A 22050-nucleotide genomic window follows, 5' to 3' on the forward strand; every position below is an offset into this window, starting at 1 on the left:
ACACTCCACATATTCCACATGCATGAATACTGCAGCTTTCACCGAGTTATGCCATTCAGTTTAGTTTCCTTCTGCTCAGCTTCAAAAAGATCAAGAATTAAAGGGGGAAGGTTTATAAAACCTGCTCGGGATGTTGCAAAGCTCTCCTAAGTCCAGCGTCTGCTTTCTAGTGGGCTTGGTCTGATTTCTGCAGGTACCTAAGAATGTGGGTTATTTCCATGGTTAATCTGTCTATACCTCATCTTCTTTCAGTTTGCAGTGATGGTGCAGAAGAACCAGGTCGGAAGTCTGCTTCTCTAGGATGGACTGATACTGGCGGAGAGAATAGTAAGAAGTCTGCAACTCCTCTGTGTGAAACTCCAGTTCTTGTTGAAGGACCAGCAATTTTTTCTTCAGTTGCTGGAGTTGTCTCAGATGACACTGTTTACTGGACCCAAATTCCACCTCTGACTCCTCGAATGCTAATGCCTGTGCTTGCTTCTTGTCCTACCATAGAGACAGGATATACAAAAAAGGCTTTAGATCATCACTAAGGACGTATTCATTCCAGGATTTTTTTTTCATTTGTTCAGTCATTCACATCCATCTATCCATCTTTTTATCTTTTCATCTACAGAGATCTTATTAAACATTTCACTCTATTCACAAGGAAATGTATCACTTAGTATTCCCACTCAGTAAGAAGAATTCAGTAGAAGAAAAAAAATGGTTCTTATCTACCAAAATCTTATTATTTAGGTCAGAAGAAAAAATATACACATAAAGGACCTAGGGAGATATGTGTAATAATATGCTGAGGTGTTGCCTTCCCATATAAAGATAACACTAGTGACTTGGAAGGAAATGGATTTCTGGCCTTGGTTCTTGGACTAAACTTGGTATTAAAAACACCTGGGTAAAGGAGCATTGCAATGAGTCAAGGGTGAATTCTTGGGGATTTTGAAACGCTGAAAAATGAGAGCCAGAGATATTGTTCAGGTACATCTGGGCACTGACTCTGTCTCCTTCTCCTGAAGGAAGATGTGACCTTGCGGATGCTGACTCTGTGTGCGTGTGTGTGTGTGTATGTGTGTGTGTGGTGTGATCTCTTCTTGCTAATCCACAATCTATCTGAAATGCTGCTAGGCTCATCCTTCATTTTCATTCATTCATTCATTCACTCAACAGACACAGGCTAAGCACCTATGTTTTACCAGGTATTCTGCTGGTAGGACACATCCCTGAGTTGCTGATGCTTCTATATTTCCTATATTTTCCAGCATCCCTTATGACAATGACACGTGAGGTTAAGGTGGATAAAGAGGGTAGCCTCTGGGCAGTCCTTAGCATCCAACCCTGCTTATTATCCTCCTACACATTCTTTAAGTTTCTGTTTAAATCCTGCTCTCCTTCCTGTTTTTTCCCTGCAAAGCTGTCTTTGCACCAGTACCACAGACTTTGCTAGCATGTCCTTAATGTGCTATTCTGTATTCTGTCTGTAATTATTTCTGTGCATTTTAACTTCTAATTAGATTATAAACTCCTGGAGGGCAGGGCCATGTTTGCTCTTATGGGGCCTAGTTTACAGATTCATACATACCTATGAATTGAATGAAAGAAATGAAAATAGCGTCCAAGCAATCTCATTGGCTCCCGAGGGGTTGAGCTTGTGGCCTTGGCCTCATTAACAGAGTACTTCTAATACCGTGGCTTTCAAATTTTTAAATTAACTTTTTGAAAACAGATTTATTGAGGTATACTTTGCATATCATGAAATGCAACCATTGTTAAGTGTGCAACTCAGTGACTTGTAATAAACTTATAGAATTGTGTGACCATCATTACAATGTTTTAGAACATTTCTATCAACCCCCCACGTTTCCTCATGCCCATTTTCAGTCACCCCTGCTCCCTCCTCCAGCTCCAGGCAACCACAAATCTGCTTTCTGCCTCTATGGATTTTCTGCCTTTTCTAGACGTTTCACATATGGAATTGTATAATATGTCATTTTTTGGCTTCTTATAAATAAAAATATATATTTATTTTATTTTGAGACAGAGTCTTGCTCCATTGCCCAGGCTGGAGTGTAGTGGTGTGATCTTGGCTCGCTGCAACCTCCACCTCCCCGGTTCAAGTGATTCTAATGCCTCAGCCTCCGGAGTAGCTGGGATTACAGGTGTGTGCCACCACACCCAGCTAATTTTTGTATTTTTAGTAGAGATGGGGTTTTGCCATGCTGGCCAAGTTGGTCTCGAACTCCTAAGCTCATGCGATCTGCCCACCTTGACCTCCCAAAGTGCTGGGATTACAGGTGTGAGCCACTGTGCCTGGCTGCATAATGTTTTTGAGGTTCATCCAGGTTGCGGCAAGAATCAGTATTGGAGGCCGGGCACGGTGGCTCACGCCTGTAATCCCAGGACTTTGGGAGGCCGACGTGGGTGGATCATGAGGTCAGGAGATCGAGACCGTCCTGGCTAACACAGTGAAACCCCGTCTCCACTAAAAATACAAAAAAAATTAGCCAGGCGTGGTGGCGGGCGCCTGTAGTCCCAGCTACTCAGGAGGCTGAGGCAGGAGAATGGCATGAACCTGGGAGGCAGAGCTTGCATTGAGCTGAGATCGTGCCACTGCACTCCAGCCTGAGCGACAGAGTGAGACTCTGTCTCAGAAAAAAAAAAAATCAGTATTTGATTCCTTTTTATTGCTGGATAGTATTCCATTGTATAAATATACCATATTTGGTTTATCTGTTCACCAGTTGATGGATATTTGGGTTGTTTCAGTTTTTGGCAATTACGAATACTGCTGCTATGAACATTAACCATATTAGCCTTTGTGTGGGTATGATATTTTCATCTAATTAATGTGCTCAGCAAATAATGTGGTACACCTAGTATATCAAGCACTACACTACGTAATGGGGATATAGCAGTATATAAAACAGACAAAATCGGCTGGGTGCGGTGGCTCACACCTGTAATCCCAGCACTTTGGGAGGCTGAGGCAGGCAGATCACGAGGTCAGGAGATCGAGACCATCCTGGCTAACACGGTGAAACCCCATCTCTACTAAAAATAAAAAAAAAATTAGCCGGGTGTGGTGGCGGGCGCCTGTAGTCCCAGCTACTCAGGAGGTTGAGGCAGGAAAATGGCGTGAACCCGGGAGGCAGAGCTTGCAGTGAGACCACACCACTGCACGCCAGCCTGGGCAACAGAGCGAGACTCCATCTCAAAAAAAAAAAAAAAAAAAAAAAAAAAACCAGACAAAATCCCGACTTTGTGGAGTTTGCATCTAATATGGGGAGAGCGAAAACTAAGCAAGTATATATGTAGTGTATTAGAAGGACAAAATGCAACAGGGGAGAGTGAAACGGGAGGAAGATGAGGAATTCCAGGATGGAGGAGGTTACATTTTTGAATTAAATGTTTGCATGGAAGGCCAAATTGAGAAGCTGACGTTTGAACCGAAACTTGAAGGAGGCAAAAGAAGGTATCTGGAATGCTCCAGGGAGTGATGGCCTTGGAGGTGGAAGCATGCCTGGTGGTATTTGAGGAGCCCCAGGGGTTGCAGCCACTTTTTTTTCTGGCTGGAGCAGAGACAGTAAGGGGGAAAGCTGTGCCTGATGGAGTGAGATAGGAAAAGGAGGTGAGGTCTTTAGGATCGTATAGCCATTCTCGAGACTTTAACTTCTTTTGGGGAGACGAAAGGCCTTTGGAGGGTACTGAACAGAGGAGCAACATGATCTCCCTGAGCTTTTATGAAGGTCACACTGGCTGTTTATTGGAAATCAACTCTAGGCAGGCAAAGACAGAAAGACCAGGTAGGAGGCTACTGCAATAATCCAGACAAAGGATGACGGCGTGGACCAAGATGGTAGCAATGGAGGGCGGGAGAAGTGGTTGGGTTCTAGATGTATCTTGAAATGACAGGACATAGGATTTGCTGCTGGGTTACAGGTTAGATGGTGGGACATGATGGTCATCCGTAACAGATGATGCCAGGGTTTTTGTCTGAGTAACTGGGGAGATGGAATTTTAATGAGATTAATTCAGTAAGAGCTGGGACCTGAAAGACAAAAAATCTCTACAGAGAGTGGTGGTGGCAGCACAGGGAAGGTAAAGGAGGCTTAACCCAGTCCAGAACCAGAAAGATGATAGCTGATTGTGTCAGTACAATCTGAATGACCCTTTCCAGGCTCTCTTGGAAGTGTCTCATCTTAAGTGCCTCAGAATTGAGAAGAGAGACAGAGAAAATGGACCCACTATGGTCACCAGGCAAAAGAAATCCTAGGCAAAGACACGCCAGTGTATGTGGCTGGAGGAAAGTTGATGAGACCTCTTTTCTAAGTTGTTCTAAGTTGAACAAAGCTAAATTTTGTATTTACTCTGTGTAGCTATAATTGCCAGCATTTATATTAAATGTTGTTGTTAAGGGCTTTCATTCTTTTCAAGATAAAAACACTGCTATTCTCACAACTCATCTGTGAATGAGGTTTGGAGAGAAGAGAGTTGGGAGTGGCGTGTGTGGTGTGCTCATGTATGTGTGTGTACATGCACATACACAGATAGAGGGGCTTCTGAAGAGCCTGAGTCCTCCTGCTTACATAGTAAGTTAGGAGGGTGGGGAGCTACCTGGAAAAAAACATGATCACAAATAAGTACTTAACGTGGACAGAATTAATGCAAAGGAGTGAACATCCTGTGGTAGGGTTAATTCAGAAGGGCTTATTTTAGTATAAATCCAATAAAATTCTTATCAGGCCAGGCATGGTGGCTCATCCCTATAATCCCAGCACTTTGGGAGGCCAAAGTGGGTGAATGGCTTGAGATGAGGAGTTCAAGACCAGCCTGGGCAAGATAGCGAGACCACCATCTTTATAAAAAGTAAAAAAATTAGCCATGCATGTTGGCACGTGCCTGTAGTCCCAGCTACTTGGGAGGCTGAGGCGAGAGAATCACTTGAGCCCTGGAGTTTGAAGCTTCAGTGAGCTATGGTCACACCACTGCACCCCAGCCTGGGCAACAGAGCAAGACACTGTCTCAGAAAATATCCTTATCAGATTTTGCCAAAATCCTTTCTCTTTTGGCTTTGTAAGCATCTGTCCACTGCTGAGTGTGTATGACCCTGCTGAAAACTAACCATGGTCTCCTTCATTCTTTGCTTCTCTTTGCTTCCACGTCCCTGTTTTTTCTTCACTGCCCAGAAGAATGAGAGAAATGCTCTTCTTTTAAAAGAAGTCAAACTCTCTCTCTCTTTAGGGCTTCCCCTCTAGTACCTGGTACCCCCATCTATACTTAGGTGTGCTCAGAATTACTCTTTGGTCTTAAAGCTTCTGGTGGGAAATAAATGCTTTTTTCTAAATGATGTGTATAAAACTTAGCAGCCTGGCAGGGATACTGGTGAAATGTCAATGCTTTATCTTCCCCAGAGGTCGTCTTGGATCTTCTGGGTTTAATTTTGGTCTGAGGCAACATGATGGGCTAGCCAGATGATGAGATTTTATGCAACTCTTCCAGTACAGGACAAATATAGCACCCAACCTAATTTGCCTGGTTATAAAGATCCAAGGACTGCTTCTATCTGCAGAGAAACTAGAGTTCTTTGGATAGGAATTTTAAACATTTGCACACTATAGATATCAATGGGTTTAGAGGAATCAAATTTCAAAGACTTGGAGAAATGCCTAGACTTATTTGAGACCAGTTAAATTTCTACTTATTTATCCTTCTAAATTCTAAAGGAATAGAAAAAGACACGCTATGGATGAAGCCTACATTTCACTTACAAATGTGCTGAAGAGCAGTATCACAAAGGCACCAACTTATTTCCTATTGCTTCTTTGTCTTTTTTTTTTTTTTAAAACATTCTTCCTAATGAAGACACAGATATTTTATTAAGAGTCTTCTTTGACTTTTAAACTGAGATCTGAAGAAAATAAGTACGTTGGAAATGATTTTACAGAGGTAAGACTAGTTCTTAAAATGACCATCTGGAGTGAGATGTGATTCTGGAGGCCATCTGGTCTACCAGGTTTCTCAGCTGGATTTCTATCCAGGTCTCAGCTGCTAGAAAAGATGGGGACTGCTGGCTGTCCATAGGAACCTGTTCCCATATTTAGTACACATTTCATCCCTACTTGTGGTCAAAGAGATTATAGCTATTGCTCCTTCCTTGCCTATGTGGCCACTTGATCACAGAAGGAAATTAATTGGCCTGGCATGATTTGCCTTTTGAAAAGTCACGTTGGTTTCCACCCAATACTTTATGCTTTTCAAGTTGATGCTAATTGATTGATGTTAAGTTCTGTATTTTCCTTGTATTGAAGTTAAGCTGACAGGTCTATAATTACCGGGATTGTCCTTTTTCCCTTTTTAAAAAGATGAGCACTTCATTTACCCTTTTTCAGTCTACAGGGACTTTCTTTATCCTTTTGAGTTCTCAAAAATAATCACTTGCAGCTATGTAATAACACTTGCCAATTCCTTAAGTACTCTTCGAAGTATGTCATCAGGCCCTGCTGATTTGCCTAAAGCTGGCTTTTCAAAATACTTTTTAACCATTTTATTCCCTGTTCTAGTTTGCGCTGACTAGGTTGGCATTGTTCTGATAACTGAATCCCTAATGATTTTTTTTTTCATTTAAGAACCGAAAAGTCTCACTATCTTTTTTTAATGGAGATATTTTTCTTTATTGAGAAACTTAAGACTTGGATACATCAAACTGAATTAATTTCCTGGGGAGGGGACCAAAACCCACAATAGAAAAAGGAAGTTAACACTGTCCGGGCCATAGCAGAACCCAGAGAATACATTTGTATAGTTGAAAAATTCTAAGTGCTTCATATTTGACCTTTTGATACAGCATGATCTATTAAATTTGTGATATGTATTCTTGGTGTTGAGGTCTATAGAACAATCTAGGAAGTCTTCAAACTTTGAGCTGAATTGCATGAGGGGTTATTTGGCTTTTGAATCAGTTTCTCCTTGTTCACAAGGTAGCAGCAGCAACCATTAGCACAGATGAGGACTAACTCACTTTTTCAGTCATTGTCATGAACTTCTGTTCCTATCTTTGAAGTAAGTGAGATATTTCCTTTGAACTCTAGTTTAGCCTTATATCACTGGATAGGTTTATCTGTTACTTTTTTTTTTTTTTTTTTTTTGAGATGGAATCTCACTCTGTTGCCAAGGCTGGAGTGAAGTGGCATGATCTCAGCTCACTGCAACCTCTGTCCCCTGGATTCAAGCGATTTTCTTGCCTCAGCCTCCCGAGTAGCTGGGATTATAGGCGCCTGCTACCATGCCTGGCTAATTTTTGTATTTTTAGTAGAGATGGGGTTTTGTCATGTTGGCCAGGCTGGTGTCAAACTCCTGACCTCAGGTGATCCACCCGCCTCAGCCTCCCAAAGTGCTGGGATTATAGGCTTGAGCCACCGCGCCCGGCCTTATCTGTTATTTCTTATGTCTTCTACAAATTGCATGTCTTGTACTTCCTTGTACTAGCAGAGCATAGAACTGTAAGTTTAAGTGACATGAATTAATTTTAGATGCATCTTTCTGACGTAGACATTCTTCTCACTAGTGACTTCTGCTTGCCTGACATTCACTTTAAAAAAAGTATTTTAGAATAATTTTTGATTTACAGAAAAATTGCAAAAGTAGCCCAGAGAGTTCCCATATGTTCTTCATACAGCTTTCCCTAAGGTTAACTTCTTAAATAACTGGGTACATTTGTCTAAACTAAGAAATTAATGTTGGAAGATTACTATGAACTATACTTTATTGGATTTCACCAGTTTTTCCACTAACGTGTTTTTTCTGTTCCAATATCCAATCCAGGATTTCACATTGCATTTAGAAGATTCAGTGAAATATTTTTTTTCATTCCCAATGATTCAAAACGATACTGTGTAATAATGCCCATCAAGATTCTACTAATCTTTACATCTTCAACAAATTACTTTTATCCACAGGAATCAAACTTGCCTTATATAGTTTTATGCTAAAAAGTGTCCTCTGTACACTTCAAAGATGAGTTTGGCAATCTGAGCTCTACTGAATATCAGGGCATGCACCCTATGCCACCATCAGGGAATGGAGCCTGGGAAAATTGCTCAAAAGGCCCTTTCTTTTCTGGTTTGATCATTTTATTATGATGTCTCTGTTGTTCTTTTCTCCTTTCACTTTGAGATGCTCTTTTGATTCCTGGGCAGGGCCAGGACTACAGTGAGGGAAGTGAGGTGCAAATTTTAAGGAGGCACTCAGTCTCAGGGTGGAGCACATGCAGGTTGGCACCTGAAGAGCTTGTGCCCATGAATTTTGCACCTTAGCCACCTCATTTGCTTCACCCTATTTCCTGCTGTGTTCCTGGGATTGGGAGCATAACGTAGTTTTGATTTGCAAGGTCATGCCGTTTTCTTTTCTATCACTTGCCCCTTCCCTGCCACTCCTTTTGTTATACATAACAGCTAATGTAACATTTTAATCTTCTTGCATAATTGCGGTTGTAAACTATGACCTCCTGCTTGTTTCCCCAGCTCCTTGTTAGAGAGTAGTCAGAATTTCAGAAAGTCTTGGTTTCCCTTTTGTTCCCATATTACATTTCCATGTGGAAGGCAGATCTTAAAGGGATTTTCCGAGCGGATGAGTGTAAGTCTACATCTAATTGTGGATTTGTATGCATAGTCTGCTATTTAAATTCTGCACTAAGTGCTAGGGGAAAAAAGAGCTCGCTTTAAAGCTTGTTTCAAGCTGTTAGACCTTCTTCTGGGCAATTAGAATAATAAAATGCAATTTAATACCTTTCTCCTTCCAAGTTGCCAGGTACATTTATAAGCCACATGGCTTTCCCTGACTGGGGGAATAAGTAAACTCATGACAGCAATGGTGAAAATATCCTAAAATGTTAATATTTAGAAAGAAGTAAATTATGATAATCTTCTTCCTGAGATCCATTTAGGAAACTGGTGGATTTTTCTCTATTTGTGACTTCCTGAGGAAAGCAGTGCTTACAAGATGAAGTAGAAATGCTTTGTTGGTAGTATTTCTAGGACATTGCAGAGGAACAATTTGTGGTTTCAATAGTGAGGTGGTAAGTCCTGGGAGAACTCTAATAGATGCAATGAAAAGAGGCCAGATCCTTGACCACAAACAGTGAAGAACACAGTGGCGGCTTCACAGCCTCCCAGAGGCTAACTTTGGGTGTCCAGCAACAGGTCTGTGCAGCTAGGACCTTCTTTATGTTTACCGAGAACTCATGTCACTAAATGGAAATGAAGACCACAAGTAAAGAATTCTTGGAAACCCAAAGTGTTAGGGAGCTGTGGGAAAATATCTCCCAGATGGCTCCCCAGCTTATGTGGAAAAATTTAGAGACTGACTTAAAGACCTTAGATTTAGAGCTTCCAAAGAAAGCAAACCCCAGGCTAAAATGAAATTATCTCAGCTGATGAACAGCCTAGACTCTAGATAAGTATTAGTCCAAAATCACAGTCTCAAGAAAGATGCTTATGCCAGGAGGTCTGCATGTTCACACATGTGTAGGATCAGTGCTACTGAGTGTCTTCACTTGGGCACCCCTGAAAGCAGGCTCTGTGACAAGGAACTGAGGGTCAAGTAGTAGTTGATGTGGGAGGTGGTCTTAGGAAACTCTGGTTGGGGAGTGGGAGACTGAAACAAGGAAGGGAAGGAAGCAGATAAAAGGTGTGTCCACTCATTGATTGATGGGCATTTGACTGGTTCCATGTTTTCGCATGTGGTATATATATACAATGGAATACTACTCAGCCATAAAGAGGAATGAATTAATGGCATTCACAGCAACCTGGATGGAATTGGAGACTATTATTCCAAGTGAAGTAACTCAGGAATGGGAAACCAAACATCATATGTTCTTACTTATAAGTGGGAGCTAAGCTATGAGGATGCAAAGGCATAAGAGTGAAACAATGAACTTTGGGGACTCTGTGGAAAGGGTGGGGGGGGTGAGGGATAAAAGACTACAAATTGGGTTCAGTGTATACTGCTTGGGTGATGGGTGCACCAAAATCTCACAAATCACCACTAAAGAACTTACTCATGTAACAACAACAACAACAACAACAACAACATTGGGTTAAAAAAAAAAAGGTGTGTCATCAAGTCAGGTACCGCTGTGAGCAACTGGGCTCAGGTCCATGGAGGAAGTCTGTGAGACAGCACGCCTCGGGTTACCTCTGATTAGGGAGAAAGGAAGGTGGGAGATGTAATCTACCATCTCCCCATCTGACATTGCTTGAGGGTTGCTTCTAGGGGCATTAACTCTTGAGAACCTGAGCTTGTCCTATGATCAGGTTCCTGCATCCAGAAGAAAAGCTTGCAGGCAGTGAGACGCAGGTGCAGCAATAAAGACCCCCTGCTACCCCAATGGACACTGATACCTTAGAGCAGGTGTGATGGTTTTTATTTTCATGGTTGACTTAGAAGTTTGTCTGAGATCCATAGCAGACGCTGCTCCCCTTGTATCACTATGATCTGATATTTTCAGGGCAATGAGCTGTAAATACAGGTGTGAAAGGCCAGATAAGGAAAACATCGTGCCTAGGATGTACATGACCTTGGAGATAGATGGAAAAGTCCTGAAGGCAGGACTGGCATTTTCCATGTGTATGTGCGTTGGGGTGTGTGTGTTTAATTCTCTTAATTCTCTCTCATTGCTTGCTTAATAAGTACTCCTGAATGAACAGTGGAAGAACTTTCTATTATTCCCGCCCAAGGGAGCAGAGGCAGAAGTCAAGAGAGCAGGGGTGAGCGGCTGCTGCCAAGTCCCTTACGTGGCTGCTGTTCATTGCCTCCTCCATGCAGAGCTGATTGTCCTGCAAGGTCTTCCTCTGTCTCTTGCAGACATCGTGCAGATTCTTGATGTCAAGTTGCAGGCTTAACAGCTTGCTGTTCAGGCTGCTCACTTCTCTGTCTCTCTCCCCCGCCTAGGCAGCCAGAAAAACAAAAGCATCAATTATAAACTATCAAGAAAGTGCTGCTTTCATTCACTTAACAGGTTGACAGAGACTTGAAATTTGCTGGAAATTTGTCCATCAACCATTAGCTGTTATTACTCATCCTGTGTAACATTTACACAGTTTCCAATTGCCAGGTGTCTGACCGTTCTGCATTATTCAGACAATTACTGATTTATATTAATTAAATCTTCACCACACTGCTGGGGGTGCACAACAGACAATTCCCCTGTTTTTCAAGAGGAAGTCAGTGTCTAGAATAATTCTAGGCACCTACTGGACTGTCTATAAATATTAATGGCTCTGCCACTGATGAACATATTGAGATGTCAAATGAACTTGTCAAGACAAGTATAGTGAATCCATGATGGGCTTGATATGGGATTCTGAAGTCTCTTACCTTTCTCTTCTACCCACTAGACCAAAAAATGTCCCTCACCTATAAACCCAGTGCTTTTCTTTTCTTTCTTTCTTTTTTTTTTTTTTGAGACGGAGACTTGCTCTATTGCCCAGGCTGAAGTGCAGCGGCACGATCTAGGCTCACTGCAAGCTCCGCCTCCCGGGTTTACTTAAACCATTCTCCTGCCTCAGCCTCCTGAGTAGTTGGGACTACAGGCACCCGCCACCATGCCCGGCTAATTTTTTGTATTTTTAGTAGAGACAGGGTTTCACAGTTTTAGCCAGGATGGTCAAGATCTCCTGACCTCGTGATGTGCCCATCTTGGCCTCCCAAAGTGCTGGGATTACAGGCATGAGCCACCGTGCCTGGCCAACCCAGTGCTTTTCTTTAGAGGCATTCACAATGGGAACAAAAGTGAAATCCCTGGGCTGGTGGCGTAAGATTTCTGTCTTTGATTATGAGTGAAAAGAATTAGCTAATTGTTGCTAGATGGGGATGGAAAGTAGTGACTGAGATATAAATAGAATGTGTGGGGCATAGTAACTTGGGTGGGGGTGCAGGTGCAGAGCTGTTGTAGGATGGTGGGGCTTTATCACTCCAGGATGCCACCTCCACTCCCAGAGTTGTGGGTGGCAATGGTGTGAAAAGGAAGGTGGAAGAAGTCCTGTGTGAACCTGTGTAGTGCTTCAGTTCTGTCACTGTGCCGGCTTTCTACAACACTTGTGAGCACAGATGTTACCGTTACTGAGTTTTAAATCTAGGAACTGAGGCTGGCTCCTTCATGGTCAGTACATGGTTTGGCTCCAAGTCCCCAACCAAACCTCATCTCAAATTGTAATCCCCATGTGTTGAGGGAGGGACCTGGTGGGAGGTGATTGGGTCATGGGGGTGGTTTCTCCCATGCTGTTCTTGTAATAGTGAGTGAGTTCTTACGAGATCTGATAGTTTAAAAGTGTGGCACTTCCCCTCACTCTCTCTCTCCAGCTGCCATGTAAGATGTGCCTTGCTTCCCCTTTGCCTTCCGCTATGATTGTAAGTTTCCTTAGGCCTCCCCAGCTATGTGGAACTGTGAGTCAGTTAAACCTCTTTTCCTGATAAATTACTCAGTCTCCAGTAGTTCTTTATGGCAGTGTGAAAATGGGCTAATACAGTACCTATCTCTTAGGTTAGATTACCAAGAGGGTTCTTAAGTGAGGATTCATGGCATCTATTAAAGAAACACTCCCAAGAAAAACCAGCATGGAAGAGGGGGAAGCAGGACAGGGAAGGGGTAAAAACCAAGTATAGGTACATTTTCAGAGAGTCCTGTGGTCAGTAATTTTAGCCTGCTCATACAGGAAACTCTGGAATATGAGCTACACCTTAGAGTCTGTCTTGATTGGTGTCAATGAAAGCTGGGCTGTCAAACTCAGCATCAGTCAGTCAATGGCCAATGGCCATCCCATGGGTTATAAGCTCCTAAGAACTTCCAGCTCTCTGCCCCTGTAGGCAAAGTGACTTCAATAGTCTAAAGGCAATTCTTCTAAGAGAGTTACAGCTGCAAAAGTGCATAGTAGACAGGGGATAGGTGCATGGAAATAGTGAAGGGATCTAAGCCAAAGTGCCCAAGGTCTCACATCTGGTTAGCAGTAGGGCCAGGAGAGCACATTCCTCCTGACCCTGTAGCCAGTGCTCTGCCCTCATATCCAACTGACTGGTCTGTCTTTTGAAATATATGAGCTGCATAACACACATTCCCAGAGGAACTGGAGACCTGATATGGACATCGTAAATCAAACCTTACTGGACAGGTCAGTTTAAAGGACCCCTGCACAAGGCCGAGGGGGGCCGGAGGACAACGGTGAGAATTGGACATTGCAATGTCAGAGTATTCAGAATTCAGAAGGTTTCCCAGAACTGCTGCTGTCTCCGCTGATTTATTTCTTCATTTCCATTTAGTACCTGGACTTTTTTTTTTAACCACTTTACAGTTTAATTAGGTTAACGGCATGGCTCTGTCATTAAAAGGATTTCATTATCTCAAAACTCTCCCTCCTCCTCTCTTGCTCCTATCTTTTGTTCCTCACTTCCAGAAAAATAACAGTGGATGTCAACTGCCCCAAGCATGTAATTACCATTAAGACAATTAATGGGGACTCTCTTAAGACAATATGTGTAGAGTGGCCTTAAAAGATGGTGTACAGACACTGTTTTCTAACTTGGAAACAAAATCCTTAACTCGATGAAGAGTGGTAGTTTGATTCTGGTGCTTTGGATCCCTTTCCTGTGGTCACCACACTGGGAATAGGGTATGGAGCCTCTCCAGGAAGTGGGACCCTAAGGAGCCTCTCCACTCTGGCCACAGGACTGTCTTTCTTTGGCATCTATGAGCAGGTTAGGTGACAACAAGATGCCTGCTCCACAGGAGAGCCAAATACCCTATACTCTTGCCTTGGTGCTGAATATACGTGTCTTAAGGCAGGGACCCTGACACCAGATTGTTCCCCATGGAGACCAGCACACTGAGGGCTCACTAACAAAATGCCAACGATACACACTTGAGTCTCTCTAAATTAAAAGTTAAGTGCTCTCTCTCAGGACAATAAAAATATCCTTTCTCCCTCCAGTTTTGGATGTCCTCTGAGTAGAAGGCCTGACAGCCCAATTCTTTTGCACCACCAGAAGTTCAGAATTGGATCTTCAATACAGATGATCTCATCTAATTTGTACATTTAGCATCGGCTCAGAGTCTCTGAGAAAATGTCTTCATTCATGAAACAAGGTTTGGAATAAATCATCTTTCTTTGAATATTCCTTAAACCAGTTGAATAACAAATATGTTTTGATGGATGTCAAGTGAAATTTACTTTTGAAAAGAAAACCATTCACTCCTGAAGACCAAATTATAAAGAGGTTTTGATGCATCAGAAAAGGAGTAAAAATGCTGGGAGAGTGATCAGGTGATTTCGAGAATGATGTTCGATTTTTAATTATAGGGAGTTATTAGAAAAGGCTGTGTTCACCTCAGAACCCCAGAAAAGCCAATGTTTCTGGGGTCTCAGTGAACCTAATTTCTTGCTGGTATCTCGCACAGATATTAGCTGTAAACTATTTATAATCCTATCTACTTTATGAAGGCTAAATTCCAGGCAGATGCCTTTTGAGTATCAACATGCAATAGGGATAGATTTAATCTGACATTTCATCAATCATAGCTCTGTAACCATTACTGGGGCATGAGATGAACTGAGAGTCATAATGTTGACCCTCAGGCACCATCTGATCTTGTCCTGGATCTGAAGTCATTAACAATGGCTGAAATCATAAGTCTCCACTGCTAGGTGAGTTTTCATTTACATAAGTCATGTACTTAGATACCCGGTTTCTCTTATATAAGGCTGGAACCTGGTCACTCTGCTTTGAAACATATGACAGCAGCAGCAGCTATTAACCCACAGGCAAAATGATGAGTGCTGATACTGCAGTTGCTACCATATTCATGATAACTATTAGAAAATAGGTTATTTACTGAAGCAAATTTTCTGTATTGATTAAATGGGTCTTTTGTCAAAAAGCATGGTATCTCAAACATATATTTCAAAATAGGAGAAGACATTTTGCTTTAGGTTTCCAAGTATTAACAGTCTCAAGCTTCTTCTTGGGGGAAGCTAATGTTAAATTGAAGCTCGTGATTCAGTAGCATTTTCAGAGCCCAAGAGCATTGCAAAGATTCAAAATGGCAGCATTCCCAGGGATGTGGCATTTCAACATGAAAATCGGAGTAATTTTGGATTCAACCAATAACACCATAAAGGTCATCATCTTTGGGATATTATCTTATTTGTCTGAGGATGAGGACAAATCTTCAATAATCAATGGGAAACCACTTTTAACCACCACTAATATCACAACCATTCAATTTATGGTAAGAGTTATGCCTTAAGAATCATGAAACCTTAAAAACTAATATTGATTCAGGAATTCTTACATTTCACTTGTGTAATAGTAGAGTTTACAGTTATCTACAGTAATTTTAAACACTATTATTGATATTACTGACTTGATTCCCAAGTTGACTTTTCCATTTATAGAAATATTACAGTTTTTGCATTACTTATGAATGAAATTAATGGGTACTTATACAAGGTTTTGCCTGTGAACAAAAATTTAGAACCAATTATGTTCATATACTGAGGAGTGACTATATTTTATGGTGTTCTAAATTCTTTTAAAATTGGTGTATACTTATGTAACAAACCTGCACATTCTGCACATGTATCCCAGAACTTAAAGTATAATAAAAAAGATTTAAAAAATAAAGAAAACATTATGAAATGTAAGAAAGATAAACACACACACACACACACACACAGATTAACAAATTAAAAAAGATATCTGAGAGATCCCCTTATCAGCTGTGTATTCAAGCACAAGTTATTTAACTTCTGTGCCTACATTTCCCCATGTATAATATAGAGATAATTATGGCTTTCTTAAGGTTGTTGCAAGGATTAAATGCATTGGTAAATACAATGTACTTAGAACACTGTCTGACACATATCATGGAAGGCTAGATTAGTGTTTGCCATAAAAACAAAATTGGCACACCCTGTAAGTATACAGACTAGGATACATATGACATATGTTGGAGATCAGCCACCTATGGAACGTGGGCTGATTTTTATTGGCACCTGGGCAATTTTCACAGACTTTTTTCACTATCATATCATTTGAGAAATTATTCTACTAAGAAGGTAAGCTCCATGAGAGTAGAGATCTTTGTCTATTTTGTTCACTGCTTTATTCCCAGCTCCTAGAACAATGAACGCCTGGCATATTGAAGGTGCTCCAAAGATATAAATTAAATGAAGAAAGAGCCTTCTAGAAAATCCATACGAGATCCTTGTTCCCCACAGAACTGGTATGAAGTTCTGTATGGCTCCAGTAATGCAGCAGGAAAGGAGTGGACTGCCTGTTTCAGAATCTGCTCACCTCTTGGTAGGAGGTCTGTTAAAAAGCATATGGTACATGGGACAATCCTTTACTCATCAAAAAAGTCCCCTTAAATCCTTTCTGGAACAAGGTAGGGCATACATAAACATAGTTTGCTGCTGTTGTTGTTGTTTGAGACAGGGTCTTTGTCGCCCCGGCTGGAATGCACTGGTGTGATCATGGCTCACTGCAGCTTCAACCTCCCAGGCTCAAGTGATCCACTTGCCTCAGCCTCCTGAGTGGCTGGGACCAAAAGAGCGTGCCACCACACCTGGCTAATTTTTTTTATTTTTTGTAGAGACAGGGGTCTTACCATGTTGCCCAGGCTGGTCTTAAACTCTTGGGCTCAAGTGATCCTCCTGCCTCGGCCTCCCAAAGTGCTGGGATTACAGGTTTGAGTCACTGCGCCTGGCCCCATAAACACAGTTTGACCAAAATATTAAACTAATCAGACACTCCATTTTCATATCATTCCAGATAAAGAGAGAATGTTAGCAACAATAGTTAATATCGATTAAGTGCTTTCTACATGCACTACCTTTGCTAATCCTCATACCAAGTCTTTGGAATAGGTGATCATCATTCATATTTTCTAGATAAGGCAAAGGAAACTTAGAGTAGGTGATCACAATTCATATTTTCTAGATAAGGCAAAGGAAACTTAAAAGTAGGAAACAAACTCAGTATCATACTGCTGGTAGATATGGACCCAGACCCACCCAGCTCGAGTCTGGGCTCTTAAACACGATGCTCTGCTGCCCACCTCTGTCCATGATATTTTGTGATGCTTATTACTGGAATTTTGAATCATAAAACATGAAAAAAGTCCCTTGTAATGAATATTCAACTCCATGCATGTAGAGGAGTTAGGAGCCTTACCTCATCTTTCATTTCCTTGGCAGCTCTCAATTCTCCTTTAACCTTTAGTATTTTCTGAGCTTTGTTATAAACCTGAAAAAGTCCAAGTATTTAAGATGGAAAAAGTATAAATGAGCCTCTGCCCTTTAAAGATTTTCCCAGCTGGATCTATGCCCTCAGCAAGAGGTTTGGAAAATTTTCCTGAACTGTTAGCAATACCCACTTGCTTACCCATCTGTTTGTGTTTTTAAAAGGGTGTTAAAACCTCCAGATGGCAGGACCATGGTTTTACATCTTTTCCAGAAAACCACTACTTGGTGAACCAAACAGTTTCTGAATTTACCCTTCTTGGAAAGCAAAAAGTCTGAATCGAGTTTACTTTTTAGATTTCTATGTACTCTATGGCTCAGATATAGCTAATATTATGTACTTATTATGAACCAGACATGATGTGCATGACCTAACTTCATTCTCACATGAACCCTGGGAGGCAGGGACTACTACTATCCTCATTTAAAGATAAGGAAACTGAGGCCCAGAGAGGCTAAGTGACTTACCCAGGGTCACAGAGGCTCTCTTACTACTCTATGAGGAGCTTCCATTAATTTTGTAACTATTCATATGAAATATCTGATGATATGGTGTTTTTGAAGCATCAGCTTGCCATAATGTTGATGCTCATAAAGTTAGGAAACATGTGAAGTGCTGAGACTTATCTAGCTAGAAAGCCTCCCAGGAAACCAAAGATCTTTGCACATGTATGTGCATGTAAGTACAGGATGATGCATTTGAGGTCATAATGCACTGAGCTTATTAAAATCATCTCATTCATTCTGTTTTTAACCCTAAGAATAGAGGAATTTCCACCAGGAACTTACCTGCAGAATAGTTCAAGGAATGAGAAGCTATCAAAATACTCATCCTTTGTAACAAACCACATCCCCTATCCCTAATATAAGCCAAGAGGAAGAAAGAATGTTGGTGATATGTGGAATCTGGAATGTTTTATGGAGCTGAATTCTGATTTCCTGCATTGAGTACCCTCTGAAGTCTTCATGCACAGAGGTGCATCATGGAAATGGAGGTGTGGCTCAGGCTCACCTGGTGGGGACAGGCTAGGTGATGGTGTAGTAACAAACAACCCCCAAGTCTCAGTGGCTTACGACCGTGAAGGTTTATTTTTTACTCATGCTACATGTCCTTTATGAGTCAGCTGGGGCTCTGCTCCACATTGTCCTCAATATCCTCGTAGTCCTCAGCTGGTGAACTTCTATTATCTAGTATGTTGCCTGTTGCCATGGTAGCAGAAAGGGAACTTGGTGAATCACCTACTGGTTCTTAAAGCGGAAGTGAAACACTTTGCTTCTGCTCACATTTCATTAGCCAAAACAAGTCACATGGCCATGCCTAACTTCTTCCTTTACCTCCTCAAAGAAATATAGGCATATGTCAGAGAGATTGCGGGTTTGGTTTCTGACCACCAAAATAAAGCGAATATCACAATGAGACAAGTCACACAAATTTCTTGGTTTCTCAGTGCATAGAAAACCTATGATTACACTATACTGTGGTCTACTAAGCGTGCAATAGTATTATGTCTAAGAAAACAAGGTGCATAACTTAATTAAAAATACTTTGTTGCTAAAAAAATGCTGATGTGGACATAAGGGAGCACATGCTGTTGGAAAAATGGCGCCAATAGACTTGCTTGATGCAGGATTGCTACAAACCTTCAATTTGTTAAAAATGCAATATCTGTGAAGCACAGTAAAGTGAAGAGCAGTAACACGAGGTATGCCTGTACTGGCGAACTCACAAATGACTTCCACACTAGTCAAGCAAGATTAAAAATAGCGTGGCATAAAAGAACACTAAACAGGATTCTAGGCCACCAAGCTTCTAAACCTGGTTCAGCACCTCACTGGAGGAGTGGCCTTTGCAAAGGCCTTCATATCTCTGAGGCTTCATTTCTGCTTCTGTAAGCTAGGAAGCTATAATAAATGGCCTTTAGAAGTCTTTCCTAGCTTTAAAGTTCACTGATTCAGTGCTCTACCACGATGGACACCTTTCTTTAGGAGGAACTATGAACTCACCCAAGTATCATACAAAAAGTTGTAATGGAACAAATGTATCCTTGAGAATCATACTTCTTTGCAGGCAAGCCCACTGGATAGTCAGGAGATGATTCTGAAATCAAATGAAATCTTGTCCAAAAGACAGAGAAATGATTTTCTAGATTGTGATGGTTTCATCCGCTATGGAGTTACACAGCTGTAGTTGCAAGAGCCAAGAGCATTTCGAAGGAAAAGTAGAAGGCATAGGTTCTAACATTTGCATGAAAATATATTGAAATTTACTAAGTAAGGTAAGTAGGAAGAAAAAAAGAGAGCTGGAGTTTGTTCCATGAAGGAGATGTCAGAATCTTCAGTCATTAACAATAGCAGCAGGCAGTTTGGAAGGGCTTATGATGAAAAAACTGGAAGTGTTATATGATAAGTTTTTGATACATTTGACAGTAATGTTTGCCAGATGGATAGGGAAGAGTGTTTTGGGGGAGCCCCACAGGCTTTACGAAATGCCATGTGAACCTTCACAGTGCTGTCTGACTGAGGAGTATGGCTGGACAGATATTTTGTGGAGGAAGGGCTCATCCCAGAGGCAGGGACTCTCTACCAGATCCCCGGCTACTGACTCTCTGAAGCCAGGACTTTGCTCATGTCTCCCTCTTCTTGAACCCTTGTTCTTACATATTCTGTTCTGCCTCTTGCGTCTCTGTTGAGACCTTCATTTCTTCATGCCTTGTCTACTGCCATCTGCCCAGGCAACTCCTTTTTTGTATTCAAAACTCCTGCCATCTGCTTTTCAAAGTAGGACTTCTCTTGGTGACAGCTGTGCCTAAAGAAATGATTGTAGTGAAAACAAAAACTTGGTCAGAGCTTCTAGTGATGTTTTGTGCCTTCCCTCAGTCTACTATCAGAGCACCTTGCAGATTCCCAAGAAACACCTAACACCACACCTCAAATGGGTGACTAAGGTAGCAAGTATCAAGTCAGGTGTGCAAAAAGAGAAAGTAACTCTTTCTATTACTCAGTGTTTTTGTTTAGCCCCATTTTCACCAAATGGCAGAAAACACAATCTTAGTTATTTCTGAGAAAGCACCACGACTTTCAGGTTAAAAATGAATCAGTTCATGATTCCCTCACAGTTCATGATTCTCTCAACCTCTTTAAGGCGTCTCCAGAGTGTGCTTAAGATTTTGAGGTCCCAGTTTGGATCCTGGCACCAGGGGAAGCTTGTGGTCCATGGTCATGGGCATCTCTCCTAGCTAGAGTATGCCGAGGTGTCACTGTCCTGGTCAGTAGGCCACATGTACTAGTATTAGTCTGTTCTCACATTGTTATATGGAAATACCCGAAACTGGGTAATTTATAAAGAAAAGAGGTTTAATTGACTCATAGTTCTGCATGGCTGGGGAGGCCTCAGGAAACTTACAATCTTGGCAGACAGCACCTCTTCACAAGGTGGCAGGAGAGAGAATGAGTGCCAGCATGGCAAATGCCAGACACTTATAAAACCATCAGATCTCGTGAGAACTCATTCACTATCACGAGAACAGCATGGGGGAAAACACCCCATGATTCAATTACCTCCCACCAGCTCCCTATCACAACACATGGGGATTGTGGGATTACAATTCAAGATGACACAGCCAAACCATATCACCTTATATCCTGTGTCTTCCTCATCCTAAGGGCTTTGGGTCATCTGGCACTTCCTCATCCTTTGAAGATGCTCCTCCCTGTTCCCCATCAAGACACAAACACATGCACACACATACCACACATACATACACACACACCACATGAGAGTAGATTCAGACTGTCTCTTAGACTTGTCCTATCAGCATTCTATCTTTTACCTTGAAAGGTATTGAGAGAAAGAGGACAGAATGCTCACTTTCCTGGTTTTGATCAAAAGTCCCTCTGCCCTTCGATCACTAAACCTATCTGGGAATCTATTGTTTTCCCTCCCTTCTGCCCCATCTCATAGATCTCACCAGGGTCTAATTCTCCTGCTTATGTTCCAGTTACCCTATTCCTCCTCTTTCCTAACTCAAACAGTCTTTGTGTGGTTTTGGAGAGAGGAAGGAAAAGGGGCATAAGTGAACAAGTTCTCTGAAATGCAGTTTTAGCAGGCCAGGATGTGAAACACATCAGTTAGTACTTCACATACCACCTGCCCACATTGGGTTACACAAATGCCGTAATCACAGACTGCTAATTTTGACTCCCTCCCCAAGGAACTGGTAAGTGCCTGGGTATATGGTTGACTCCTGGCCTTACAGCAACCTTGTTGCTCCAAGGAACACCGACTATTCCTTTTCCTTCATGGCCTGGATGGAAGAATATCAAGGGTCTGTTTTTCCTAATCTAAAACATGTTTCCGGGTTTTCAGGAAAGAGATGCTTTTTTGGTTTAAAATTAAAGCTATCTTTGTGGGATAATACAAACTAACTCAGGCTTACCTATACTAAGCCATAAGTCTTTCCTTTACTTATGTTGGGCTTTAGATTTTTCTCCAATGTTCTACCTCCTACCAGTGAAAAAAGTGTGATGAATCTTAGAGCTCTTAATTATTGAAATGATGAGAGGGAGCTAAAGGTTTTCTCTATTTTTAAAAATGTGTGAGCCCCATGAACAGACAGGGATACTTATTGTATACTAATTATTTCTACCCAGAAAGTATGATTGGAGCCAATGTGCAGAGGCTTGGTGTGCAGAGGCTTGGCATGCAGAGAGTTCGCCTTTTTGAATCCAAACCCGGTTCTAAAGGAGAAAATCCCTGGTA

The 22050-nt window shown here is 41.6% G+C and overlaps 1 protein-coding gene across 9 annotated transcripts in view; it reads right to left on the reverse strand.

The window, feature by feature from the left end:
* PMFBP1 (polyamine modulated factor 1 binding protein 1) overlaps window positions 1-22050 on the reverse strand; it is a 133293-nt gene that overhangs the window by 37317 nt on the left and 73926 nt on the right. For 2 of the 9 annotated variants that reach the window (XM_011523357.4, NM_031293.3), the window contains exons 1-4: window positions 18081-18182; window positions 17224-17295; window positions 10791-10943; window positions 238-486 (exon numbers count right to left, since the gene is read on the reverse strand). In XM_011523357.4, the coding sequence (XP_011521659.1) occupies window positions 238-486; window positions 10791-10943; window positions 17224-17235 (414 nt within the window). In that variant the 5' untranslated portion in view covers window positions 17236-17295; window positions 18081-18182. Of the gene's footprint in view, window positions 1-237; window positions 487-10397; window positions 10514-10790; window positions 10944-16657; window positions 16677-17223; window positions 17296-17759; window positions 18044-18080; window positions 18183-18303; window positions 18498-19295; window positions 20098-22050 lie in introns of those variants that run through there. The other 7 variants (NM_001160213.2, XM_047434734.1, XM_011523361.4 and 4 more) reach the window with 7 other exon arrangements.

The sequence above is a fragment of the Homo sapiens genome, chromosome 16, assembly GCF_000001405.40.
Source record: "Homo sapiens chromosome 16, GRCh38.p14 Primary Assembly".
In the NCBI taxonomy this organism is placed as follows: Eukaryota; Metazoa; Chordata; class Mammalia; order Primates; family Hominidae; genus Homo; species Homo sapiens.